This window comes from Homo sapiens, chromosome 7, assembly GCF_000001405.40.
Source record: "Homo sapiens chromosome 7, GRCh38.p14 Primary Assembly".
Lineage (NCBI taxonomy): Eukaryota > Metazoa > Chordata > Mammalia > Primates > Hominidae > Homo > Homo sapiens.
Genome location: NC_000007.14, coordinates 25,989,481 through 26,016,124, shown reverse-complemented (window position 1 = coordinate 26,016,124; position 26,644 = coordinate 25,989,481). Strand labels below are relative to the sequence as shown.

Sequence of the window (26,644 nt, the reverse complement as noted above, 5' to 3'; positions counted from 1 at the left end):
TTCAATAAATGGTGTTGGGATAACTGGCTAGCCATATGCAGAAGATTGAAGCTGGACACCTTCCTTACACCATATACAAAAATCAACTCAAGATGGATCAGAGACTTAAGTGTAAAACCCAAAACTAAAAGAACTCTGGAAGAAAACCTAGATAATACCCTACTGGACAGGAATGAGCAAGGTTTCATGACAAATATACCAAAAGCAATTGCAACAAAAGCAAAAATTGACAAATGGGATCTAATTGAACTAAAGAGCTTCTGCACAGCAAAAGAAACTATCAACAGAGTAAACAGACAACCTACAGAATAGAAGAAAACATTTGCAAACTATGCATCTGAGAGAGGTCTAATAGCCTGCATCTATAAGGAAATTAAAGAAATTTACAAGAGAAAAACAACCCCATTAAGAAGTGGGCAAAGAACTTGAACGACACTTTTCAAAAGAAGACATACATGCAGCCAACAAGCATATGAAGAAAAAGCTCAATATCACTGATTATTAAAGAAATGCAAATGAAAACCACAATGAGATACCATCTCACACCAGTAAGAATGCCTATCATTAGAAAGTCAAAAAATAACAGATGCTGGTGAGGCTGTGGAGAAAAGAGAACACTTATACATTGTTGTTGGGAGTGTAAATTAGTTTAACCATTGTGAAAAGCGGTATGGCAGTTCCTCCAACAGCTGAAAGCAGAACTACCATTTGTCCCAGCAATCCCATTACTGGGTATATACCCAGAGGAATACAAATCATTCTACCATAAAGATACACACTCATGAATGTTCATTGCAGCACTATTCACAATAGCAAAGACATAGAATCAACCTAAATGCCCATCAATGACAGATTGGATAAAGAAAATGTGGTACATATACACCATGGAATACCATGCAACCATAAAAAAGAATAAGATCTTGTCTTTTGTGAGAACACGGATGGAACTGGAAGTTATTATCCTTAGCAAACTAACGCAGGAACAGAAAACCAAATACTGCATATTTTCACTTATAAGTGGGAGCTAAATGATGAGAACTTATGAACACAAAGAAGAGGACAATAGACACTGGGGCCTCCTTAAGTGGGGAGGGTGGGAGGAGGAAGAGGAGCAGAAAAAAATAACTATTGGGTACTGGGCTTAATACCTGAGTGATGAAATAATCTGTACAACAAACCCCTGTGACATGAGTTTACCTATAGAACAAACCTGCACATGGACTCCTGAACCTAAAATAAAAGTTAAAAAAAAGTTATGAGGTTCCCAGTGAAAACTAAGGGTTTTTCTTCAACTCTTGCCACTGGTGAGGTTAGAAAACCAGAGTGGAAAAAAGTCAGGGTTAAACTACTGGATGGCTAATCAAAATAAAGAAACACTGTTTAACTCTCACTTTTAAGTGTATAAGCATTTGTTGTTATGCTAAAAAAACAAATCCTGTGGGAAGTGTAGTTACATGCGGCAAGTTTGGATACACTGCACCCCTTCCCCCCATCCCCAGAACAAAGCCGGCCAACAACAATACGAATCCTACAGCTGGAATGCATTCTGGATTTCTAATCTGATTATTTATCCATGATTATATGTTTTTTTTCCCACAGCATTCCCATATCCATAAACATACATTTAAAATCAAGACCCCAAATCCCTTAAATAAAACCTATTTCATGAGTCACACTCTTCATCTAATTCAAGCTTAGTGGCTTAAAGAAAAAACAACCACTAACTACAATCTGAATTCACAAGTGAAGCCCTCGACTCCTGTTGACTCACCAAAGCCTTATTTTATGAACATCAAGATGCGATCTTTTGCGTGTGGGCTCTCCCAGAAGAGTGCTCTGATAATGCAAAGGATTGCTCGGTTTGACTTTGGAAGTAATCAAGTGGCCTTTCCGTTGTGTGGTTGTTAGCAGCAGATTTGCCCTCCAGATTAAGTTTGCTATAAGATGATGTTAAAAATCATTCTGCTTTCTCAGGGTTACTCATGTCACAAGCAGTAGAGAGGAATTTATGGGACAAGAGAAAACACCACTGCACAGTGGGATCGAGAGCCCAATGCACAGTAGGATCCTACAGGTTTGGAAAAGCATGGTTCTTGTGTTGAACTGAATTTTGCCTCTGGCTTGGTCCTGTTGCTAAGAAATAAGAGACTATCTGCAACAGGCGCTGGAGAAATATAAACTGTACATTTGCTTCAGGGATTTTCCTCAATTATCTGTGCCCGGACAAACAGAAAACGGCATTTCTTGGATTCCTGCCCATTTGGAGTGGGGAAGCATCCTGCTACATTGGCAAGACATCAACCAGAGTCTACAGGAGAATGAACAAAAAGAATGGCCTCTTATCCACGTCTGGAGAAAAATTGCTCACAGGATTTGAGGTCCGCTGCACACCACCAAGAGAACGCCCCATCAGAAAGCGTAAGAGAGCCTTCCCTGCCCTTTTTGGAGCGTTACCTCCACAGCCCAAATGTCACCCATGCTTTAGAAACCCAAAGCCTTGCTAAGAGCCAAGAAGAAGGCTGACAAGCAAGTCCTCATTTTTGACCAAAGCAGTAGAACTTGTAAAGAATCCTGATTGTGTTACAATCTGACACCGAGAGGTTTCCCACCACTGAATGGGCACATCTGGGTGTTTAGTGAGGCGAGGGGTTGCCAGACATCCAAAGGCTTCAGAGCAAGGCAGGAGGACAGCTGCTGGGCGAGGCAATCAGAGAACACAGGTAGGTCCTCAGAGCTCCTTGGAGAACACAGGTAGGTCCTCCTCCACATGCATTCACATTCAATTCAAATGAAACCACTGTGGCAGCAGCAGCAGTGACAACAAAACATTGTTCCAGCCCTTCCATATGTGGCCTCTGCTCTGAATTCAGACATCTGTGTCTTCCCTGTCACTGAGGCTGGTGCTGTTGGAGGTAGGCAGGGAAAATCTGGTCACTGGAGGATTGCCACATATTTTTGTCTTAAAATGTCATTAGGCCGGGCACGGTGGCTGTAATCCCAGCACTTTGGGAGGCCAAGGCAGGTGGATCACAAGGTCAGGAGTTCGAGATCAGCCTGACAAACATGGTGAAACCCCATCTCTACTAAAAATACAAAAATTAGCTGGGTGTGGTGGCACATGCCTGTAATCCCAGCTACTCAGGAGGCTGAGGCAGGAGAATTGCTTGAACCTGGGAGGCAGAAATTGCAGTGAGCCAAGATTGTGCCATTGTACTCCAGCCTGGGTGACAGAGTGAGATTCCGTCTCAAAAAAAAAAAAAAAAAAAAAAGAAGAAAATGTCATTAGCTCCATGTCCTGCTCATACCAGTGATCAACCACCCACAGATGCTGCTCGTTACCCTGTGCTGAAATAGAATCAATAACCAACACAACAGTGAGCATGACCTGGCCATGCATTTTGTGCCAGGCCCTATAATATGTGTGAGGATTCAGCGAACTTTCCTGATAAGCTTGTGAGGTTGGCACTTTGACTGAACCAGCCTTACAGATGAGGAGGCCAAGGCTCATGGAGGTGAGGTGACCTGTCCAAGATCACATAGCCAGTGCCTGGCAGGGCTGTGATTTCACTCCCACCTGGCTGGCCCCAGGCCTTGTGTTCTGAACCATGGGTGTGAGGATGAGTTTCCTGCTCATCACATAATTCCCAGTGATGTCCCCTGGTTAGCCCATGCTGGGTATTTCTGATATGCAGGCAGCACTGAGGGGATGGCTCCATGTGTCCAGCATGGTCCCACAGCTAGACCTCCTGCGAGAGCCTTTTGATGTCCTCCCCAGGGGAAAGGCTAACCTGCTGCAGCGTTTTAGAGCCACTGCATGGTGGATCTTTGAAGGCAGGGTGCAGGCAGGTAGCAGATGCTTAAAAAATACTTGTCAAATGACAGAACTGCTTTTCCACCACGTGAGACCTCCCCAGTCCCCAAACTCCACCTCTGGAAATAGGGGTCATTGCTGGTGTTCTGGGGGAGTCATAGGATGCTCTCTGGAACTTTCACTGATAAGTTGAAGTACGTGAAGTTGGCAGTGCCAGAATCATATTGGCAGAGGAAGAGATGAGGTCCCAAGATGAACTATCAAGCTGCACTTTCACCCAACAGCCAACTTCACCTGAGCGGGAATCTGGGTCAAAAACTGGAGAGAGACACTAAAGGGCCTGAAAATCTGGGATTATTCTTCCTTTTTCTTCAAAGCCCAGAGGAAGAGGCGTTAGGCGTTTTTAACTTTAGAGGCATGGCTGAATTGAATGAATTCTGAATAATCTAAGAATGATAATCCATTGAGCACAAAACAGTGGGAAATACAAAGTGGGTTTTCATGCACATTCTTCAGTCTCAGGTTTGTAGTTATAAGTGATCTGTGTAAACAAGGACCAAGTGGACCTTTCTTTTAAAACCTTCAGAAATATTTGTTTCCTTTAGCAGGCAAAGCCCTTCATATCAGTATTTTAACACAAGATCACCAAAATTTCACAAAAGAATCCAGTTTTAAAATTAATAAAACATTTTGTAACTAAAACAATAGCAGAGGAAATTGCTTCAGGAAACAAGAAAATGCAAAGAAGCACTTGTGGTGACTTCTATGGCAAAAAATACAATACAAATGTAAAATACTTCCTATGTGGTTTCGTGAAACTATTAATATACATTAGAAATCTAGTTAAAGCAACCTGTTAGAACAGAGTGGATTTCTTCAGTACTTACAAATGGCTAGAGAAAGACATCTTACGGGGAACCAAGGCATTTCACATGAGGACAGGAATCATCTGGGGAAGGACTGGCCAAAATCCTAATCCCTATGGAAAGATTCCCGGACAGTATAAAGACAAAGCTGATGGCTTACACGGGGGGCAGCAGGTCAAAGAGACTGTGGTTTCAATATTGCAGGTGTTAATGCTTTGTTCGCCTGCAATGTGGTCCCGGTGGCGGACACTCTTTTTCGTAACCAGTGGATCTGTGTGTCTGATTCTTCATTTTGTTGCCATTTGCACAGTACACAATGGTGTGTCCCATTTTCTCCAACATTGGTCTCCCTTGTGCTGTCTCTTCATGAGGATCTGCTTCGGTTGACTCTGACCCCATCAGTTACTCCTCAGCTCTGGAACGGCACTGGGCAGGCACTACAGTAGGGGGAAATATGACTACCTTGGCTTTAGCCACCACCTTCTCCCTCTTGGATTATTGCACTAGCTCACCCTTGCCTGTTACAGGCTATTCTTATGTATAGCCTGTAACAGGCTATTCTTATGTATAGCCTGTTACAGGCTATTCTTATGTATAGCCTGTTACAGGCTATTCTTATGTATAGCCTGTTACAGGCTATTCTTATGTATAGCCTGTTACAGGCTATTCTTATGTATAGCCTGTTACAGGCTATTCTTATGTATAGCCTGTTACAGGCTATTCTTATGTATAGCCTGTTACAGGCTATTCTTATGTATAGCCTGTTACAGGCTATTCTTATGTATAGCCTGTAACAGGCTATTCTTATGTATAGCCTGTTACAGGCTATTCTATTATGATTAAGAAAGATCATGTCAGCCCTATGCATTTTTTTTTTTTTTTTTGAGACAGAGTTTTGTTCATGTTGCCCAGGCTGGAGTGCAATGGTGTGGTCTTGGCTCACTGCAACCCCTGCCTCCCGGGTTTAAGTGATTCTCCTGCCTCAGCCTCCTGAGTAGCTGGGACTAGAGGTGCTTGCCACCACACTTTGCTAACTTTTGTATTTTTAGTAGAGATGGGGTTTCACCATGTTGGCCAGGCTGGTCTTGAACTCCAGTGATTCACTTGCCTCGGCCTCCCAAAGGGCTGGGATTACAGATGTGAGCCACCATGCCTGTCCCACCCCTGTCTTTGACCTGGCAGGGGCTCCCCGTCTTACTGACAGTAAAGGGCCCAAGCCCTTCCAATAGCCCTTTGTGATGTGACTCTCCAGCCTCTCATGTTCTGACCTCGTGTTCTACCATGCCCTCAGCCTGAGCTTCCTCCACTCCAGCCACACTGACCTCCTTGCTGTGCCTTGAGCTCCAGGCTTCCTCCCCATATCTACATGGCTTTCTCACTCACCTTCTTCAGTCTTGGCTCAAGTGTCATCTTTTCTGGTTATCCCATGTAATACTACAAACTGCCCCACTCCTCCCCTCTCCCATCCTGATCTCTCTTAGACCTTCCTTTGTTTTCTATTTTTTCCAAGACAGGAATTATCCTCCAACACCCTATATAAATTACTTACTTGTCGCTCTGAAAATGCCAGCTCTACGAGGGAAGGGACCTTTGTGTGTTGTATTCATGATGTGTCCCAAGCCCCTAGAACAGTGCCTGGCTAGCCAAGTGTGGTGGCTCACACCTGTAATCCCAGCACTTTGGGAGGCTGAGGCAGGTAGAGTGCTTAAGTCCAAGAGTTTAAGACCAGCCTGGGCAACATGGCAAAACTCCATCTCTAAAAAAATTTTAAAAATTAAAAGATAAATATAAAAGAACAGTGCCTGGTGCATAGTAGGTGCTCAATAAGTACTTGTTGAATGAATGAATGAAACACACATACAAATAAGCCCCCTCCTAATACCCCACACATGAGTCAGTTGCCCTCACCAGCGAGGATGTGGATTGCATTTCCTAAGAACCAGAAGTTTTGCTGGCTACACGTTTTTACAGTAAGTGGTCACCGGATTCCATTGTCAAGGTACTCACTGAGGGTGGTGCTGAGCTGAGCTTTTATCAAGGAAGGGAATAATACAATTGCGTTCCCCATCTCCTTAGTGGTATTAAATGTAAGATGAGGCCAGGGGCAGTGGCTCACGCCTGTAATCCCAGCACTTTGGGAGGCAGAGGCGGGTGGATCACCTGAGGTCAGGAGTTTGAGACCAGCCTGGCCAACATGGTGAAACCCTGTCTCTACTAAAAATATAAAAAAATTAGCCAAGCGTGGTGGCAGGTGCCTGTAATCACAGCTACTTGGGAGGCTGAGATAGGAGAATCACTTGAACCTGGGAGGCAGAGGCTGCAGTGAGCTGTGATCGTGCCACTGCACTCTAGCCTGGGTGACCAAGCAAGACTCCATCTCAAAAAAAAAAAACAAACAAACAAACAGATGAATACGCTAACGTGATACAGATTACCAAGGACAAAACCAAGGAACAAAGAGGGTTAACATATAATCAACTGTAAAGCGACTGCATCTTACACACACCAGAGACAGTCATTTAGCAAATAGCTTTTAAGCTCTAGCTTTTGCTACAACATATCCTGAATCTCCCAACCCGCCACTGCCTAAGCCCTACCCTGAGTTGACTATTATGCAGATTAAGGGTATGAAGAAGGAACCCTGGTGCCGTCATCTCCTTGTTAGTGTTGTGCTTATGTCACTTTGATCACATCACATGCCAGGAAGGGATAGGGGCTGGCAGCGAACAGCATGGTTCTTGGGGCATGCAGTAGCCTGGTTTCCCATCCTGTCCCGTCACTTAGGAGTCATGAGGCCTGAGTACCTTCCTTAAGGCCTCAGGGATGCTGAGCTCCCCCAGGTTTCCTCAGCTGGGAAATCAGCCTTCCACGAATGAGGTAATCCCTGCAAAGCGCTTAGAACAGCTCCTGCTTATGGTAAACCCTCAATCAATGTTAAAGTCTGTTGTTACTCAGGAATCCACTGCATAACCTGAATGTCTTGCCTGACCTTCATGTTCCTCATCAGTGGCACCTCCACCCCACGCCTGCCCCCCACCCCGCCCCGATCTTGCCATCTTGTTTCCCAGTACCAGCTCCTTTTTTTTTTTTTTTTTTTTTTTTTGCTATGTTGCTCAGGCTGGAGTGCAGTGGCGCGATCTCGGCTCATTGCAGCCTCTGCCTTCCGGGTTCAAGCGATTCTCGTGCCTCAGCGTCCCGAGTAGCTGGGATTGTAGGTGCACACCACAATGCCTGGCTAATTTTTGTATTCTTTGTAGAGATGGGGTTTCACCATGTTGGTCAGGCTGGTCTCAAACTCCTGGCCTGAAGCATTTCACCCATCTCAGCCTCCCAAAGTGTTGGGATTACAGGCGCCTGCCACCACGCCCAGCTAATTTTTGTATTTTTAGTATAGACAGGGTTTTGCCATGTTGGCTAGGCTGGTCTCAAATTCTGGACCTCAGGTGATCTGCCCACCTCAGCCTCCCAAAGTGCTGGGATTACAGGTGTGAGCCACTGCGCCTGGCTGCTCTTACTTCTTGTGCCAACTCAACTCTGGAGTGGTCTTCCCCACTAATTTTCTGGTCCTTCCAAATTGAGCCCAAGTCACTGCTCCAGGTCCCTCCTCTCCTGCCTGGCTCCTACTGCTCCCTCCCATCTCTCCCTCCTCTGCAAGCTCATTGAGCTTATCTCTTGACTCACGCATTAGTGCTGTTGATTGGAAGCCAGCTGTACATTATTTTTGCCTCGCTCAAGGATCTCTGAGAAGGAACACTGGTCCTGCAATTGTTAGCCTTTGCTTTATCTTCATTCTTGTTTTTTCAGGTGCAGTGAGGCCTTGGGAAACAGCCTGCTTAGCCCAGAGGTAGAGGAGAGGGTTTCATCCATTCACTCATTCAGCAAATATTTATGGAGCACAAATGACATGCTTGGCATAGAGGCATATATCATTCCTTCCCAACGGGAGCTCTGTCTTCTTGAGATGACACTGCAATACACATGAAGTTCTAACTTGGCACTCTGTGTGAAAGGGAGTTGTATAGGAATGAGCATGGTTTTGGAGGGAGCCTCGCTGGCATTGAATGCTGGCTCAGCCACTAACTGGTTGTGTGACCTTGGATGGTTAGCTTAACCTCTTAGAAACTCAGTTTCCTCATCTGTAAAATTGAGTGATGGCCTGCTCTTCCCAGAGTTGTTATTTTCTATTGCTCTTGGGCACCCACTTGGCTGGGTAGCCTAAGGATGGGTGGGTGGAGGTGGAGGGGTCAGGTCCCTCAACTTGCCACTGATGGGATCTTACTTTCTTCAGGCCTTGAGATCTCAGTGTGAAATAGCTGTCTCTGGGATAGGTGCTCAGTTTTCCAGCCTCTTCCCTTGCCATCCTCTCCAAGCGGTGTCTAGGGCTGATGCAGTAGTTCTCAACCTACTACAGTGTTTGTCTTCAGGGGACATTTGGTGTCCCGAGGTGTTTTTGATGATCACTACTGAAGAGGGGAGGGGAGTGCTACTGGCATCTGGTGGGTAGGGGGCAGGGATACTGCTAAACATTCTACAATGTGTAGGCAGCCTCCATCAGTGAAGAATTATCTGGTCCAAACGTCAATAGTGCTGAGGTGACCACAGAGTAGTAGATCTCATGACAGGGATCTTATTGCTGCAGTCCATGGAGCTGGTGCAGCTTCTCTCCCGTTTACCTGGCTCTCCACCTTAGCTCTCCCTAGCAATGCAGACCTTTTTGAATTTCAGCTTTGACCTGTAACTGACCTGTCTGGTAGAGTTGCCTCACCCCTTATCACCTTATCTCCTGGACTCTCCACTCCCCTTTGCTCCATAGGAACCAGTGTTGGTGAGGGACACTTACTCAGGACTCTTCCCTACCTGACTTACACTGGGCTGCCACTTCCACCCCGCTGTGCCTACCCTGTACTGGCAGGGTGACGCCCAGGACTGGAGTCACCTCCTGCAGTTCCCAATGAAGAGCAGAGTATCAAGATCCCTCACCTTCCAGCCTTCCCCCAATCCAGCTGAAGCCCGGCTCCACCCCGTACCAGGATTCCCATCCAGAGGTGGATGAGGGGGCAGGATTCAGGGTCCAACTGTCTGCTGCCATCCATCAGCCCATCCTTCATCGGCTCCATCTTCTTCCTCTTGGACCCGAGAGGCTTGCTTTGACTTCCCATCCTGCCTGGCTCGTATTCTTGTCCATCCAGAATGGCATTTCTTCTCCCTCTTCCCTGGAGCTATGGAATGTGTGCAGGGAATGTGACTAGGGCGTGGGATGAAAAAACACACCACTCATAGTTTCCAAATATTATTCCTGTTACACAGTCTACGTGGCATATATTCTCCCAGGCTTCCTAGCACAGGCGAGACCATGAGACCGTGGAGTGCCTTCGGTGAGAATTATCATTTCTCTCACTCTGGGAACACAGCAAAGGAAGTGATAGAGAGATAGGATGGCAGCTTCTCAACATATGTCTGTGAATGTATCATTCCTCAGTTTCTCCAGGAAACTCTTTCTTCACTTCCCTGAGTTAGGGCGGTGCCCCTGATGACGTCACGTGGGCCTTTCCAAGACTTTGAGCAGCAGCAGGTCAGGTCAGCACCTGTGCACTGTTTGCCTGGTTTATCTTGTTTTCTATGGGAAAAGCTGCAGCTGTTAACTCTTAATAAAGAGTTAACAGCAGTCACCTCATGACAGAGGTTGAGACTTTGGCCATGTGTTTTATTTAATAACAGTGCTCTACTCTGCTTCTGCCAAGCTATCTTTGGGAAACGTGTCTCAAGCATTGTGCTAATCTTACTGTGAACTCTTGAAATCTTAAAATAAGAAAAGATATACACATATATATCTCTTAAGAAAACATTATTTCATTACACTATAATTTTTGATTTCAGTAATTATGATTTGGCAAATTTATTTTTATCTTGCAAGTGGCAAAATGCAATTAAATGATATCAAGTGTAAAAGAGAAATAATGACGTTTTCTTTCCATAAATCATTTGAAAAAACTGTAGGACTTTATATTCTTTTAATAGTTTTTGCAATTTAAGCCTCGTGTTTATACCACTTTATGAAGGTGATTTTTTTAAAAGCATAAGTTTGTTTTACTATAAATTATAATTCTGTAAACATCAGAAATGCAAACTTGTGGACTTCTGTTCATGTTTATATGTCAACATACTTAAGTGCCAGCAGAAGTTCTGTGATCAATAAGACACAATTTATATGCATTATTTTGAAGCGTCCTTGGCTGGAAATGTTGGTTGGCAATATCCAAATTATGGCTGAATATGAACGATGATAATCAATAAGAAGGGTAACATCAATATGGCTGTGGTGGCAAGCTCTGTTTCAGCAGGGGAAGTAAAGCAGCTATTGATTTGAATGAAGCAGATAAACCTAACCATAATTTTAAGTAGACTGGTGGGTCCAACTGAGAGTTTTATGATGCTAAAATTAACCCTTGTGTTGCTAGGGGCATGTAATTGCTGCTAGCAGTCTTGTGTGATTTTGTGTAAAGTTTGCCCCTACAGTAAATTTAGACCCAATGAAATAGCTGAAGTATTTTGTTTGCATTTGGAGTTAACAAATAAAATATACCAGACTTTTATTCTGATATCTAGTAATGTCAATCAAGAAGATAAACCAATGCAATTTATTAAATATCTTGAATTTAGGTTGCGTTTTAATCTTAGGTCAATGATTTCCATCTCTGACTGCTATTACCTGGAGAACTTGAAAAACAAAACTAAGCAGCAGACCCATTGAATCAGTCTCTCTGGGTCCTGGGCATGGGTATTTTAAAAAATAAACGATGATTTTGATATGCATCAGGGATTAGAACTTCTGACAAATAATCTTGTGAAGGAAAGCTTTAAGTAGTTCAACTAGTTTGCAATCCAATTAGTTTCTATTATAGTTTAATTTTAGCTGAAGTACAGGTAGTCTTTTTTATTTTTTTTTAAAAAAAGCAATCTGTGTAAGATCAAAGGCGGGTGTAACTTAGATATCCTCAGGGTGTCTGTGGCATTCACAACAATGGGTGAGCCTCATGATGGTCACCTGGAAATATTTCAGTTGATCAATCCATCAAGATGGTGAGGATCTGTGTTCTCAGTGAGCCCTTTCCTCCTCATGAGGTTGGAGTCGCTTCTGAGGGATTCCCTGAAAGAGCTAAAAGACTGTGAGTATAAGGTATTAAAAAAAAAAAAAAGAAAGAAAGAAAAAAGAAAAGACTGTGAGTATAAGGTATTAAAAAAAAAAAAAAGAAAGAAAGAAAAAAGAAAAGACTGTGAGTATAACGAATCAGGTTTTGCATCTCATTCCTGCCACCTACTTGTCCTGCCCCAGGGCTGTGGTCTGTAGATCCCCAGCATCACCAGGTGCAGGGTAGCAATGCAGAGTAGCAATGCAGAGTCTCGGGCCCTACCCAGAACCATGAACCCGATTCTGCTTTGTAAATCCCCTCTGCTTCCTGGCAGGGTGTTTGGGAGGATCAAGTGCATGATATAAAAGTATCTTTGTATTTTTTATTGTAGTAAAATACACATAAAATTTTACCATTTTAACCATTTTTAGGTGTGCAGTGGCATTATTCACATTGTTGTGCAACCATCACCACCATCTAGCTCCAGAACTTTTTCTTTTTTTTTTTTTTGAGACAGAGTCTTGCACTGTCACCAGGCTGGAGTGCAGTGGTGTGATCTCAGTTCACTGCAACCTCCGCCTCCCTGGTTCAAGCAATTCTCCTGCCTCAGCCTCCTGAGTAGCTGGGACTACAGGCGTGCACCACCACACCCAGCTAAGTTTTGTATTTTTAGTAGAGACAGTGTTTCACCATGTTGGCCAGGATGGTCTCGATCTCTTGACCTCGTGATCCATCTGCCTCAGGCTCCCAAAGTGCTGGGATTACAGGCGTGAGCCACCGTGCCCAGCCCAGAACTTTTTATCTTCCCAAAGTGAAGCTGTGTGCCGTGGAACACGAACTTTAAATTCCCTTTTCCCCTTGGCCCCTTGCAACTACTATTCTACTTGTGAGTTTGACTATTCCAGCTGGCACATCTATGTGGAATCATATAACATCTGTCCTTTGGTGACTGGTTTATTTCACTTAGCATTATGTCTTCAAGGTTTATCCGTGTCGTAGCATGTGCCAGAATTTCATTGCTTTTTAAAGCTGAATAATATTTCAATAAATGTGTAGACCACATTTTGTTTATCCATTCATCTTTGACATTTGGTTTATTTCTATATTTTGGTTATTGTGAATAATGCTGCTATGAACACAGGTGTACAAATATCTGAGTCTTTGCTTTCAACGCTAGAAGAGGAATTGCTGAATCATATGGTAATTCAATGTTTAATTTTTTGAGGAATTACCAAATATTTTCCACAGCAGCTGCACCTTGTATATTCCCACCAGCAAATGCCCAAGGGTTTCAATTTCTCCCTATTTTCACCCATACTTATTTTCTTTCTTTCTTTTTTTTAATCGTAGCCATCCTAATGGGCGTGTAGGGGTATCTCATTGTGGCTTTGATTTTTCGTTTCTCTAATGATTAATGATATTGAGCATCTTTACATGTGTAAAGTATTTATTTATTTATTTATTTTTTGAGACAGAGTCTTGCTCTGTTGCCTAGGCTGGAGTGCAGTGGCGCAATCTTGGCTCACTGCAAGCTCCGCCCCTCCAGGTTCAAACCATTCTCCTGCCTCAGCCTCCTGAGTAGCTGGGACTACAGGCACCCGCCACCACACCCGGCTAATTTTGTGCATTTTTAGTAGAGACAGAGTTTCACCGTGTTAGCTAGGACGGTCTCGATCTCCTGACCTTGTGATCCGCCCACCTCAGCCTCCCAAAGTGCTGGGATTACAGGTGTGAGCCACTGTGCCTGGCCTACGTGTGTAAAGTATTTTTAAATACCATATATGCTGTTGCAATTTTGAGATTATTATACTGAATTTTGAAAGCACTCACTGCTTTGTTTAAGAAATCTTATAGATGTCCATCAGCTGTCTTAGGAGTAAATTAGCCAGATTTTCTTCTGGAGCATAAGTGAGCTATAAATATTATCTGAGACTTGAATTACACAGTCTGAAAATATTAGGGTGTTTGCCTCAGTTTCCTCATCCATAAAATGGAGGAAATAATCCTACTTTATAATTTTGAGAAGTGAGATAATACATGAAAAGTGCTTAATGAGTATGTAAGAAGTGTCAACTGTACAAGGTGGCAGGAAAGGGTCATTACATGATGGTTCTGAGAAGAGGAGGGACCTGAGCTGGCTGATGCAGAATGCACTGGATGGGGAGGGGCAGGGGAAAGAAAAGGGAGTATTTGGAGACCAGGAAGCCAGTCAGTGCAGTCATGAGTTGTTCACGGAGTGTTTGGTGAGCTTGTTCATGGTAGTGAAAGGCATTGGAAGATAAGGCAGGGAGGGTGGGCTGAGACCAGGTGGTAGGGGCACAGAGGAGTTTGCCAAGAAGTGTGGGCTTTTGAAGGCAGTGAGGAACCACTGAAGGTTCTGTGTTCAGAGTGAGATGATCAAAGCCAGGCTGCGTTTATTGTTCTTCCAGGCAGCCATGACCCTCGAGCCATAACAGTTGCATTCCATACCCAACGCTTTGATCTTGACCATTGCCGCTGTTTATCTTTTGGGGAGTACCTTAGATATTTACAAAGTGCCATGTAATCAGTTTCATTAGTCCAGAGATAAGATTAATTAGATGTTTAAGGCAAGTCAGGACTGGACTTGGCTTTGAAAACCTCAGGCATTAAAGGAAGGCTCAAATGGTGATTCTCTCTGCAAATCTGTGAACTTGTGATTTCCTCAGTGATATTTTTACTATGCAGAACACCATACCAAGAGTTCCTCCAGTTGGTAAAGCCTGGTTCCTGTCTTCAAGAAGCTTACAACCTTATCAAGGAGGGGTGGAGTGCTGCTTTAATACAAAATGGAGTGCAGACATATCTTGTTTTGTTGCACATTGCTTTAACACACTCCACAGATGTTGCACTTTCTACAAATTGAAGCAACCCAAATTTGTGGCAACTCTGCATTCAGCAAGTCTGTCTATGCTATTTTTCAACAGCATGTGCTCACCTCATGTTTCTGTGTCACATTTTGATAATTCTCACATTATTTCAAACTTTTTCATCATTACTATATTTGTTACAATACTGTTGGTGATCAGCTATCTTTGATATTGTTATTTTAATTGTTTTTGGGCACCATGAACTGCACCCATATAAGACAGTGAACTTAATGGATAAACGATGTGTGTATGTGACTGCTCCATGCATCAGCCACTCCCCTATGTCTCTCCCTTTCCTACGGCCTCCCTATTTCTTGAGAAACAACAATATTGAAATTAGGCCAATTAATAACAATGGCCTTTAAGTGTTCAAGTGAAAAGAAGCATTGCACATGTCACTTCAAATCAAAATCCGGAAATGATTAAGCTTAGTGAGAAGAACATGTTGAAAACTGACATAGTCCAAAAGCTAGGCCTCTTGCACCAGTTAGCCAAGTTGTGAATGTGAAGGAAAAGTTACTGAAGAAAATTAAAAATGCTATAGTGCTATTCTAGTGAACACATGAATGATAAGAAAGCCTTACTGCAGGCTGGGCGCAGTGGGTCACACCTGTAATCCCAGCACTTTGGGAGGCCGAGGCGGGTGGGTCACGAGGTCAGGAGATCTAGACCATCCTAGCTAACACGGTGAAACCCCGTCTCTACTAAAAATACAAAAAATTAGTCAGGCGTGGTGGTGGGTGCCTGTAGTCCCAGCTACTCGGGAGGCTGAGGCAGGAGAATAGCGTGAACCCGGGAGGCGGAGCTTGCAGTGAGCGAGACTCCGTCTCAAAAAAAAAAAAAAAAAAAAAAAAGGAAAGCCTTATTGCTGATATGGAGAAAGTCTGAGTGGTCTGGATAGAAGATTAAATCAGCTACAACACTCCCTTAAAACCAGAACCTAATTTAGTGCAAGGCCCTAACTTTCTCCAATTCTGCAAAGGCTGAGAGAGGTGAGGAAGCTGCAGAAGAAAAATTGGAAGCTAGCAGAGACTGGTTCACGAGATTTAAGGAAAAAAGCCATCTCCATAACATGAAAGTACAAAGCAAAACAGCAAGTGCTGGTGTAGAAGCTGCAGCAAGTTCCCCCGAAGATCTATCTACAACCATTGATGAAGGTGGCTACACCAAACAGCAGATTTTCCATATAGGTAAAACAGCCTTCTATTGGAAGAAAATGCCATCTAGGACTTTTATAGCTAGAGAGAAGTCAATGTCTACCTTTAAAGGACAGGCTGACTCTCTTGTTAGGGTCTAATGAAGCTGGTGACTAAGTTGAAGCCAGTGCTCACTTACCATTCTGAAAATCTTAGGAGCTTTAAGAATTTATTCTTACTTATTTATTTATTTTTAAATTTATTTTTATTTATTTATTTTTTGAGACGGAATCTCGCTCCCTCGACCAGGCTGGAGTGCAGTGGCGTGATCTCGGCTCACTGCAAGCTCCACGCCATTCTCCTGTCTCAGCCTCCCGAGTAGCTGGGACTACAGGCGCCCGCCACCGCGCCCGGCTAATTTTTTTGTATTTTTAGTAGAGATGGGGTTTCACCGTGTTAGCCAGGATGGTCTCGATCTCCTGACCTCGTGATCCGCCTGCCTCGGCCTCCCAAAGTGCTGGGATTACAGACTGAGCCACCGTGCCCGGCCAAGAATTATTAATATACTCTGCTTGTGCTCTAAATGGAACAACAAATCCTGGATGATAGCATATCTGTTTACAGCATGGTTTACTGAATTTTTAAAGCCCACTTGTAAGACCTACTGCTCAGAAAAAAAGATTCTTTTCAAAATATTACTCATTTACCTGGTTCAGCCTATATTTTATATAAGTCTATAAATAAGGTGTTTGAAATGGTCACGTGAACCAAATAAACGGATTTTAAATCAAAGTGCTATTAGGATGATTAACATAGTTGTTAACTTGTCTTCATTGCCTTGGAGAATTCTGAAGTCTTCAGTTTTATAGAAGAATCCATAACAGTTATGCACATGATGAAGGACCTCCACAGTAGTGATTAATTCAAGGATCATTTCTATAAAAGGTACTTTTGGGGTATAAAACTTAGTACACTCTGGTAGATCTCATTCAGGGTTCAGTTAGAAAAAGCTAAACCAGCCGGGCATGGTGGCTCATGCCTGTAATCCTAGCACTTTGGGACATTGAGGTGGGTAGATCGCTTGAGCCCAGGAGTTTGAGACCAGCCTGGGCAATATGGTGGACCCCTGTCTGTACAAAAAATACAAAATATTAGCTGGGCATGGTGGCATGCGCCTGTAGTCCGTGCTACTCAGGAGGCTGAGGTGGGAGGATCACTTGAGTGGGGGGAGGTTGAGGCTGCAGTGGGCGGTGATTGTGCCACTACACTCCACCCTGGGTCATAGAGCGAGACCCTGTCTCAAAATAAAAGAAAAGACCTTAGATATTTTATGTAGGAAGAAGTTTAATGGAAGGAATTAGAAGTTCATTAAAATAAAAAAGTTTAAAAGGCTGAAGGAGCAAAAGTCACGGGAGGCACCGTGAGCTTTTAGGTTCACCCATACAGTCTTACTCTGAGAAACTGCTGCCACCACTGAGATGAGGAAAACAACAGAAAACTGCTGCCCATGGTCACCGCTGGTCATAGCCGTCCTGAAGCACCCAGGCTGATAACTAGGAAGCGAAAACTTAGAAGTTGCTGTGAAGCTCACATCTGCTAAAGCTTGAACTTCCGAAACTTGCACAGGGGCATATCATTGGCAGAATGTATTTATATACAGTTTTAAGAACCGTGAAGGAAATGGAGATGGACATGTAGCAGTTGCCAGACTTCCGGTCCCGGGTTATAGGAAAAAGTATTGAAAGGGGTAGGGGGTGAATGTGGTGGCCAAAAATAATAGCCACCAATAAAAAAAAAAAGAAGCACGGAATAATATTCTCATTTTACAGATGAGGAAACTGAGGCATGGGATGCAAGTAATTTGCCCAAAGTCACATAGTATAAGATTCAAAACCAGGTCTATCTGATTTCAGAACTAGAGGTTTTTAACCCTTAATTATACTGGGGGCTATCTGTTACAGGGCAGATAGCCCAAAAACTTAGTTTGCTTCCTTGGCTTTGACCAACTCTCATAAGCTCACATTCTACTAGACTACATAATTTAAAACAGAACTGTTAAAAAAGGATTATTTTGGCAACTTCTTATTTGGTGGTATTTCCAAATTTGCTAACCTTTTCAAGTCCTTCCAGAAAATGTGATGTGGTTAGCTCTTGCAATTATGGTAAAATTCCTAGATAAGAAGTCTTGGTTTGATGATATTTTAGGGAGTAGGTGAAGGATATTTGTGCCAGAACTCCTAAGTCCAGGCTTTAAGCCAAATTATACCACAGATAACATCTATGAAATCTCTAAAACATGCCCAATTTTTCTTCTCTGTTTTACTCTTTGAGTGCTGATATTGTTTGGCTGTGTCCCCGCCCAAATCTCATCTTGAACTGTAGTTCCCATAATTCCCACATGTGGTGGGAGGGTCCCGGTGGGAGGTAATTGAATCATGGAGGTGGTTACCTCCGTGCTGTTCTCATGATAGTGAGTGAGTTCTCACGAGATCTGATGATTTTATAAGGGGCTTTTCCCCCTTTTGCTCGGCACTTCTTGCAGCCGCCTTGTGGAGAAGGAAGTGTTTGCTCCTCCTTCTGCTGTGATTTAAGTTTCCTAAGGCCTCCCCAGCTCTACGGAACTGTGAGTCAATTGAACCTCTTTCCTTTATAAATTATCCAGGCTCGGATATGTCTTTATTAGTGATGTGAGAATGGACTAATATCAGTGCCTTGTCTATCTTGGCTGAAATAAAGTTTTAAGCAAAGGAACAAAGTTGACATTTACTGATTATGATCCCCCTGCCCCCCGCAAAGCCAATATGCTAAGTAGAGATAATGCATATTCAGTATAACTCATTTATTCATTCGTTAGCAAATACTATTACTATAACCTTGCTGAAGACCAGTGGGGATTCATTCATTCATTCATTCAACCAATATTCCTTGTGCTGTGTACTGGTTATTCACTTATCATCCCATTTCCCCATGTTCACACAGATCCAGTCTCCTCCCTTCTCTGCCCTTCGCTGGCCCCCAGCAGACTGCTTCCGGCATTATTGGGGTCTGCTTGCTTGCTGGCTTCCATTTGGGTTTGTCTAATGGGAGGAACCAGCAGGCAACTGAAGGGCAAGAGAAGCAGAGGCAGTGTTCCCTCCCTGCTCCCCCTGATTTGTGATGGTGGGTGTGGGCCTTCATGACTTCCGCTTTGGCTGGGCAGCCATGACTCTATAGTCTCCACTCTTGCTGGGTTCCACTGACACTAATTCCTCCCCTTGTCCCTTCAGCCCTAGGGGTGGCAATGGCTTCCCACTCTTGCTGGTCCCTGGACACCTCACTATTCCTCGTGTATCGCAGTAATCTTGCCTTCACTTCTGAAAGGAGCTGCTTCATTACATTTCCTTCATTTAATCCATCTGGAGTATCTGACGCTCCTGAAAGACCATCAGAATAATCAGCTGATCAAACAAAGCTGAGTTTATTATTTACTATAATAAGGGAAAGTATCACCTTGGTGGAGACTTAGTAGTGTGTCAGAAGAAAAATAGTCATTGAGTTTTGGGGCCTGAGTTCAAGTGGTTTAATTTTAATCAGTAATCTGATTAGAATTAGGCAAAGTTTATGATAAAATTGTTTAGAGTTGATGGATGCAACAAAGAAGAGAGTTTTAAGGTGAGACTTCATGAATAACTGTTTGATAGGCAAGTAGATTTGCCCAGGTGAGTGACCTACTGTCTTGGGAAGGGGACTGTTTACCTGTATGAATAACCTATTGTCCTGAGAAGATGGCTGGTTGAGCAGTCTATTTTTGATAAATGAGTATTGGAGGTATCTTATTGGTTTATGGCCTTATCTTCCTGAGCCAGAATTTCTTTGAACAAATAGTAAAGTCACATTGATATAGAGGCTGTAATCTTAGTGCTAATAATTAAGCCGTGGGGCTTCAGACATCTGACAGGGAATTTAGTGCCCACTTGTGGTCATTCTTCAGCCTGAGTTGGAGGCTAGACCATTACCGTCTGGGAGTGTGAGCATTGTGGATCCCCACTGCTGCTTGAGTTATGATTGTGTATCGGGCTTCTGGGGACGGTTATTTCGATCTCTGTAGGTGCCAGGTTTTCAGGTTCTTATTGATGGGTGATCATTTGTTAGCTCACTTGATGAGACAATGGCTGCAGAGCAGCATTAATGATTCTGAAGATCACAAATGTAAATATTGCAACACAAACAAACACTAAGAGAAGGATTATGGTCAGAGCTTATAGTGCATTTCCGTACTAGGAATCAAGAGTGCTCAAATTAAAACGAAAGAACAGATCTCATTCCTAGTCTGAATAGTCCTCAGAACCAGATAGGAGGATATTAGCTAAATCACCTAATTTTATATTATCTTTTTCTTCTGATCTTTTCTAGTAATAGCAAAGAACCCAGAGAGTTCTGCAGGGATGTAAGGACATTCTTCTACTAATGCAGCCCCTGCTCCCCATCAAGAGGCTGGTATTAGATCTAAAGTGGCCCTATTTGACAGATGATGGGAGAAAACAGCTTGGAATAAAACATTATATTGGCTTAGGAGGAAAACAGAAAGGGCTGTGGTTCAGCCTGGAAATAAAAGCTGGATTTGATTAAGAAGCTGTTTTCATTATGGGTGGCTTAAGGATGCCAAAATTAGCAGGGAAATGTTCTTTCTTTTTACTTCTAATATTTGCTCCTTTAGTCCTAGTACTTGTAATCTGCTCCATGGTGAGACTGTTTCTGTATCTACATTTTTAAGGCATTTTACACTAGCCTCTCGTATGGCCCTTCTAACAGTAATGTGACAGTGTTTAATTGTAATTATTTGCTTCCTGGTCTGTCTTCCAGCTGGACCTGTGAGGTCGTCAAGGGCAGAAAGTGTGTCTTAATCATTGGGCTCCTGCAGCCCTTAGCCCAATGCCTGGCATGTGGGAGGTGCTCAGGAAGGCAGTTAGTGACCACTGCGGTCCTCTATCTCTGTAACCCACTGTTACCTAGGGCTCAAGGGCAGGCTGGGTCCTCAGCCTCTACCTACCATGGAGAAGGAATTTGTCACTTTTCTTGATTCCTCAAATTAAAAGGTACCAGAGAGAAATGAACGTTTTTCCTGAGCTTATTGCTCTTGCTGGTGGTGAGAGTTCAATGCACAGCATTCTGAATGTCACTTCCATGAGGCAGGTCACCTCTCCTAGCATTCCCTCCTCGCAGCAAGTGCACCCCACACTCTGCCCCAGCAGCTGTGCTGGAGAAACCACCTCTCCAGAGGCAGCCTCACCTCCTCCATACCTTCAGCAAACAAAGGCCCTCCTGATTACCAGGGACTGCCCTCCTGAAAATGAGGCTAAAGGCCTGTAAATAACTAATGAGTTTCCCCTTTCACAGTTTTTTCCCTGTCTCACTTAGATGTCCAAGTGGCCTTTGCTCTGCTCCAATTCCCTTCCCCTTTCTTCTTCTCTTGTTAAATTGCTGCTTACCCTTAGAGACGGATGTGGGTTATCACACCTCCTTAGTGGGAGAATGAAAACAATAGACATTCATGCCCTGCCTACCATGTGCCAGGCACTTTCTCTAAGCACTTGAGATGTATTTACTCATTAAATCCTCATAACGACCTTATAAAGTAGGTGCCATTTTACAGGTAAGAGAACTGAGGCATAAAGAGCCTCCTCCATATCCTCACCAACACTTGACATGGTCAGTCTTTTTAATTGCAGCCATTCTAATAGATGTGTAGTAGTATCTTGTGATTTTTATTTTGTATTTCTTTAGTGACTAATGATGTTGAGCATCTTTTCCTGTGCTTATTTGCAGATCCTTTGTGAAGTGTTCTTGATTTTCTTTGTAAAGGATCTGATCAAATCTTTTGTTCGTCTTTTATTGGGTTGTCTTTTTTCTTATCGTTGAGTTTGGAGTGTTCTTTATATATTCTGGGTATAAATTCTTTATCTGATAGATGCTGTGCAAATATTTTCTTCCAGTTGGTGGAGTACCTTTTTATTCTTTTAGTAGAAAAGCAAAAGTCTTTAATTTTGATGAAGTCCAATCAATCTATTTGTTCTTTTATTGGTTGTGCTTTTGTTGTCCTAAAAAGCCTTTGCCTAATCCAAGGTCACAAAAATTTTCTCCTGTTTTATTCTAGAAATTTTATAGGTTTAGGCTTTCTATTAAGTCTATGATAAATTTCCAGTTAATTTTTTAATACAGTGCAAGATATAAATCCAAATTCACCTTTATTTTTGCATATAGATAGCCAATTGTTCCAACATCATTTGTTTAAAAGGCCATACTTTCTCCATAGGATTACCTTTTTGTGCCTGCCCAAATCAGTTGTCCATATATGTGTGGATTTATTTCCAGACTCTCTGTTCTTTCCCATTGATCTGTCTCTCTCTACATCAAACACACCATTTTGATTACTGTAGCTTCATAATAATTTTTGCAATCAGTGAGTGTTGTCCTTTTAATATTGTTCTTCTGGTTGGACAGGATGGCCTACACCTGTAATCCTAGCACTTTGGAAGTTCGAGATGGGCAGATCGCTTGAACAATATCGATTCAAAAAAATTTTTTTGTTCTTTTTCACACTTATTTTGGCTAAGTCATTTGCATTTTCATATGAACTTAAAGTCAACTTGTCAGTTCCTACATAAAAAGATTGCTGGACCAGACACAGTGGCTCACGCCTGTAATCTCAGCACTTTGGGAGGCTGAGGTAGGTGTATTGCTTGAGCCTAGGAGCTCAAGACTCACCTGGGCAACATGGAAAAACCCTGTCTCTACCAAAAAATACAAAAATTAGCCAGGCGTGGTAGTGCATGCCTGTGGTCCCAGCTACTTGGGAGGCTGAGGTGGGAGGATTGCCTGAGCCCAGGGAAGTCAAAGTAGCAGTGAGCCATGATCATGCCACTGTACTCCAGCTTGGGTAGCACAGTAAGACCCTGTTTAAAAAAAAAAAAAAAAAAAGCTTGCTAGGATTTTAATAGCAATTACACTGAATCTATAGATCAATTTGAAGAATATTGACATGTCAACAATATTGATTCTTCTAATCCATTTGCTATTTATTTAGGTTTTTAAAAATTTCTTTCAGACATGTTTTATGGTTTTCAGTGTATGGGTCTTACATGTCTTTTGTCAGATGTATCCTTAAATATTTTATATTTTTATGCTATTGTGAATTGTATTTTTTTCAATTTTCATATCTGATTGTTGCTGGCATATACATGTATAGTAGATTTTTATATATTGCTCTTGTATCCTGCAACCTTGCTAAATTTACTTACTGGTTCTAGCAGGTTTTGTTTTGTTTTTTTTTGTAGATTACATTGGGTTTTCTATATAGATGATTATCTGATGTTTTATTTCTTCCATTCTAATCTGGATGAATTTTTCTTTTATTTTCTTTTTTCTTCACCTGATTGCACTGATCAGAACCTCCACACAGTGTTGAACAGAAGTGAGGAGAGTGAACATAACAGTCTTGTTCTTAATCTTAGAGGGGATGCATTCAATTCTTCAGCATTAAGTGTAGTGTTTTAATTAAGTAGATAGTTTTTTAATAGATGTCCTTAGCAGGCTGAGAAAGTTTCCATCTCTTCCTAGTTTGCTGAGAGCTTTGATCAGGAATGAATGTTAGATTTTGTTAAATGCTTTTCCTGTATCTACTGAGATGATCATATGTTTTTATTTTTAAATTTATTAATCTCATAAATTACATTGAATTAATTTTCAATGTTAAGCCAGCCCTGCATTCTCAGGATAAACCCCACTTGGTTAGGATGTATTATCCTTTTAACATATTGTTGGATTAGATTTCAGAATAATGCTGACCTCAGAGAATGAGTTGAGAAGTATTTCTTCCTGTTCAATTCTTTTGGTAGAGTTTGTGTAGAATTGATATTATTTCTTCCTTAAGCGTTTGGTAGAATTCACCAATGAAGCCATCTAGGCCTGGGGTTTTCTTTTTGGGAAGATTGTAAACTACAATTTCAGTTTTTAAAATAGATACAGGGCAACCAGGCATGGTGGCTCATGCCTGCAGTCCCAGCACTTTGGGAGACCAAGGTGGGCAGATCACTTGAGGTCGGGAACTCAAGACCAGCCTGGCCAACATGGTAAAACCCTGTCTCTACTAAAAATAGAAAAATTAGCTGAGTGTGGTGGTGCTCACCTGTAATCCCAGCTACTCTGGAGGCTGAGGCAGGAGAACCACTTGAATTTGGGAGGTGGAGGTTGCAGTGAGCCAAGATCACACCACTATACTCCAGCCTGAATGACACAGTGAGTGAGACTCCATCTAAATAAATAAATAGATAAAATAGATACAGGGAGAATCAAGTTATCTATTTTTCTTGAGTAAGCTTTTGTAATATATCTTTCAAGGAATTTTCTATTTTATCCAAATTGTTGAGTTTATAGGCATAAAGTTGCTTTAAATATTCCTTTATTGTTCTTTTAATGTCATAGAATATATAGTTGTGCCACCTCTTTCATTCCTGATATTGATCACTTGTGTCTTCTCTTTTATGGTCCTCATCACTTCTGGCCATAGGTTTGCCAGTTTTATTGATCTTCTCAAAGAAGCAGCTTTTGACTTTACTGATTTTCTCTATTATTTTTCTGGGTTTTTTTTTTTTTTTTTGACAAATGAATTTTTTTTTAGAGGCAGAGATAAGGGACAGAATGAAAAAAATCTTGATAGTTTCCAACAGATTCTGTCCTTGGTTCTGATATATTCTTCTTTTTTGCTTAAACTAATTGTATTAGTCTGTTTTCACACTGCTATACAGATACTACCTGAGACTGGGTAATTCATAAAGAACAGAATTTTAATTGACTCACAATTCTGCATGGCTGGGGAGGCCTCAGGAAACTTATAATCATGGCAGAAGGCAAAAGGGAAGCAATCACCTTACATGGTGGCAGGAGAGAGCGAGCTCAGGGAAAACTGCCACTTTTAAACCACCAGATCTTATGAGAACTCCCTCACTATCACCAGAACAGCATGGGGGAAACCGACCCCATGATCCAATCACCTCCCACCAGATCCCTCCCTCATTTACTCCCTTGACCTCTTATTTTTCTCTCTCTTTTTTAAAAATTAGAGACAAGGTCTCAATATGTTGCCCAGGCTGGACTGGAACTCTTGGGCTCAAGGGATTCTCTCACCTCAGCCTCCCAATTAATTTGGACTACAGGCATGTGCCACTGTGCCCAGCTGATTTTTCTTAGTTTTAAAAGATGAGAGAGCTAGGAATTTTTTTAGCGTTTCTCAAACTATAGAGAAACGCTATAAATAAATAAATACATAAATAAACGCAATTTTATTTTTTTAAATTTCTGTGTTTGAAACACATTTTACTCTTCTGAATTCTCTTCTGATTGTTGTTCATGTGTATTTATACATCTTGCCTGGTCATTCTTTAAAAAAACCTGTATTTCTGTTTGGGGCCAAACATTGTCTTATGAAGATTTCTATGTAGTAAAAGTCAACAGAATTTCGGATTGTTGCAGCTATGTAGTACTTAATTGTGTTAACATGTAAATAGCTTGATTTAATACAGGACAATAATTTACACTACAGGAACTTTTGGAATGACCATCTCTGACAAGGTGAGTGTTCTGCTTGGTCAAGCACTTTGCAAATGTTAAAAGCTGACAATTTATGAAGTTAGACAGTTGAGGAAAATGTTTAGAAGAGCAAGGATTGGCTATCCTACCCTTGGAGCCATACTAAGTGGTTTCTGTCAAAAAACTGAGTATCAGACTGGGACATAGGCACTCTTACGTCCTGAAGGGAGGCTCAGATGAAGGCTGTGGCCAGGAGGATTGAAGTCAAGGGGAGAAGAGTCTGGAGCCACATTATGTCAGAGCTAGGAACAATCTTGAGTATCTCCTAATAGAATTCAACACCCATTTTACAAATTGAGGAGACTGAGGCTCAGGTGCTGACTTTCGCTGTTTACATGAAACAAGTTACAAAACTTGGATCTTCTGATGAAACATTCTTAGCTTGATTTGGAAGTTTTAGGAGGTAAAGCCCTGAGGGCACCAGAAACGCAGAAGAGGCAAGAGAATACAGAAAGTATGCAGTCTAGAAAGTTCAGACTTAAGTCAGGGAGTGGGCCATTTTTTATGGTCAAAATGAGAGAGGAAGTTTGAAATACAGAGATCCTTCAACCTGAAAAGTTGACGCAGTAGATGTAAGATAACCACAAGTGGGGCAAAGAGTTTTGGGCCTAGATGACCCCTTATACCGATGGAGCTGGGATCAAGTCATGAGCTCGCCCAAATTTGCAGGGAAGCCTTGGCTGAGGAAGGAAAGGTGAATCCTTCCACTTCGTGGTTCTGACACAGAGACAAAAGCAAAGAAAGCTCTGGATTGGTGGGGACAGAGGGGGGAACAAATTTATTCTATCACATAGGACTGCCAGATAAAATACAAGATGCCCCGTTAGATTTGAGTTTCAGACAAGCCATGAATAATGTTTTAGTGTAAGTACGCCCCATGTAATGCTATAATCATAAAATACTATGTAATATATAGTACAATAAATAATAATAAAATAACCATTATGTGCGGTTTATCTGAAATTCATATTTAACTGGGTATCTAGTTTCTTTAAGTCCTAAATCTTACAACTCTACTATTATAGCCAGAGAAATATGATCACTTTCTGTGGTGGTATAGGTTCAAAATAAGGATTTTTGGAGCCCTGTAGCTCTTTCTGGCATCTTGACACCCTACGTGCTTGCACTCATCAAATATACAAACATTTGCTGGAGTTTCACCTTTGGGGTTGAATAAGTAGGTTGCAGT

At 42.2% G+C, this 26,644-nt stretch overlaps 1 long non-coding RNA gene across 7 annotated transcripts in view, besides 1 other annotated feature; it reads left to right on the top strand.

The window, feature by feature from the left end:
• The window catches only part of LOC105375199 (uncharacterized), a 191,528-nt gene that overhangs the window by 114,665 nt on the left and 50,219 nt on the right, over window positions 1-26,644 (top strand). The gene's annotated exons all lie outside the window — the stretch shown is intronic.
• Window positions 5,040-5,713: an enhancer, noted in NCBI's record as "OCT4-NANOG-H3K27ac hESC enhancer chr7:26050032-26050705 (GRCh37/hg19 assembly coordinates)". NCBI's record gives its function as "activates a minimal SCP1, AML or CMV promoter by ChIP-STARR-seq in primed H9 embryonic stem cells {active_cell/tissue: H9 hESC(primed)}" and the evidence as "EXISTENCE:reporter gene assay evidence [ECO:0000049][PMID:30033119]".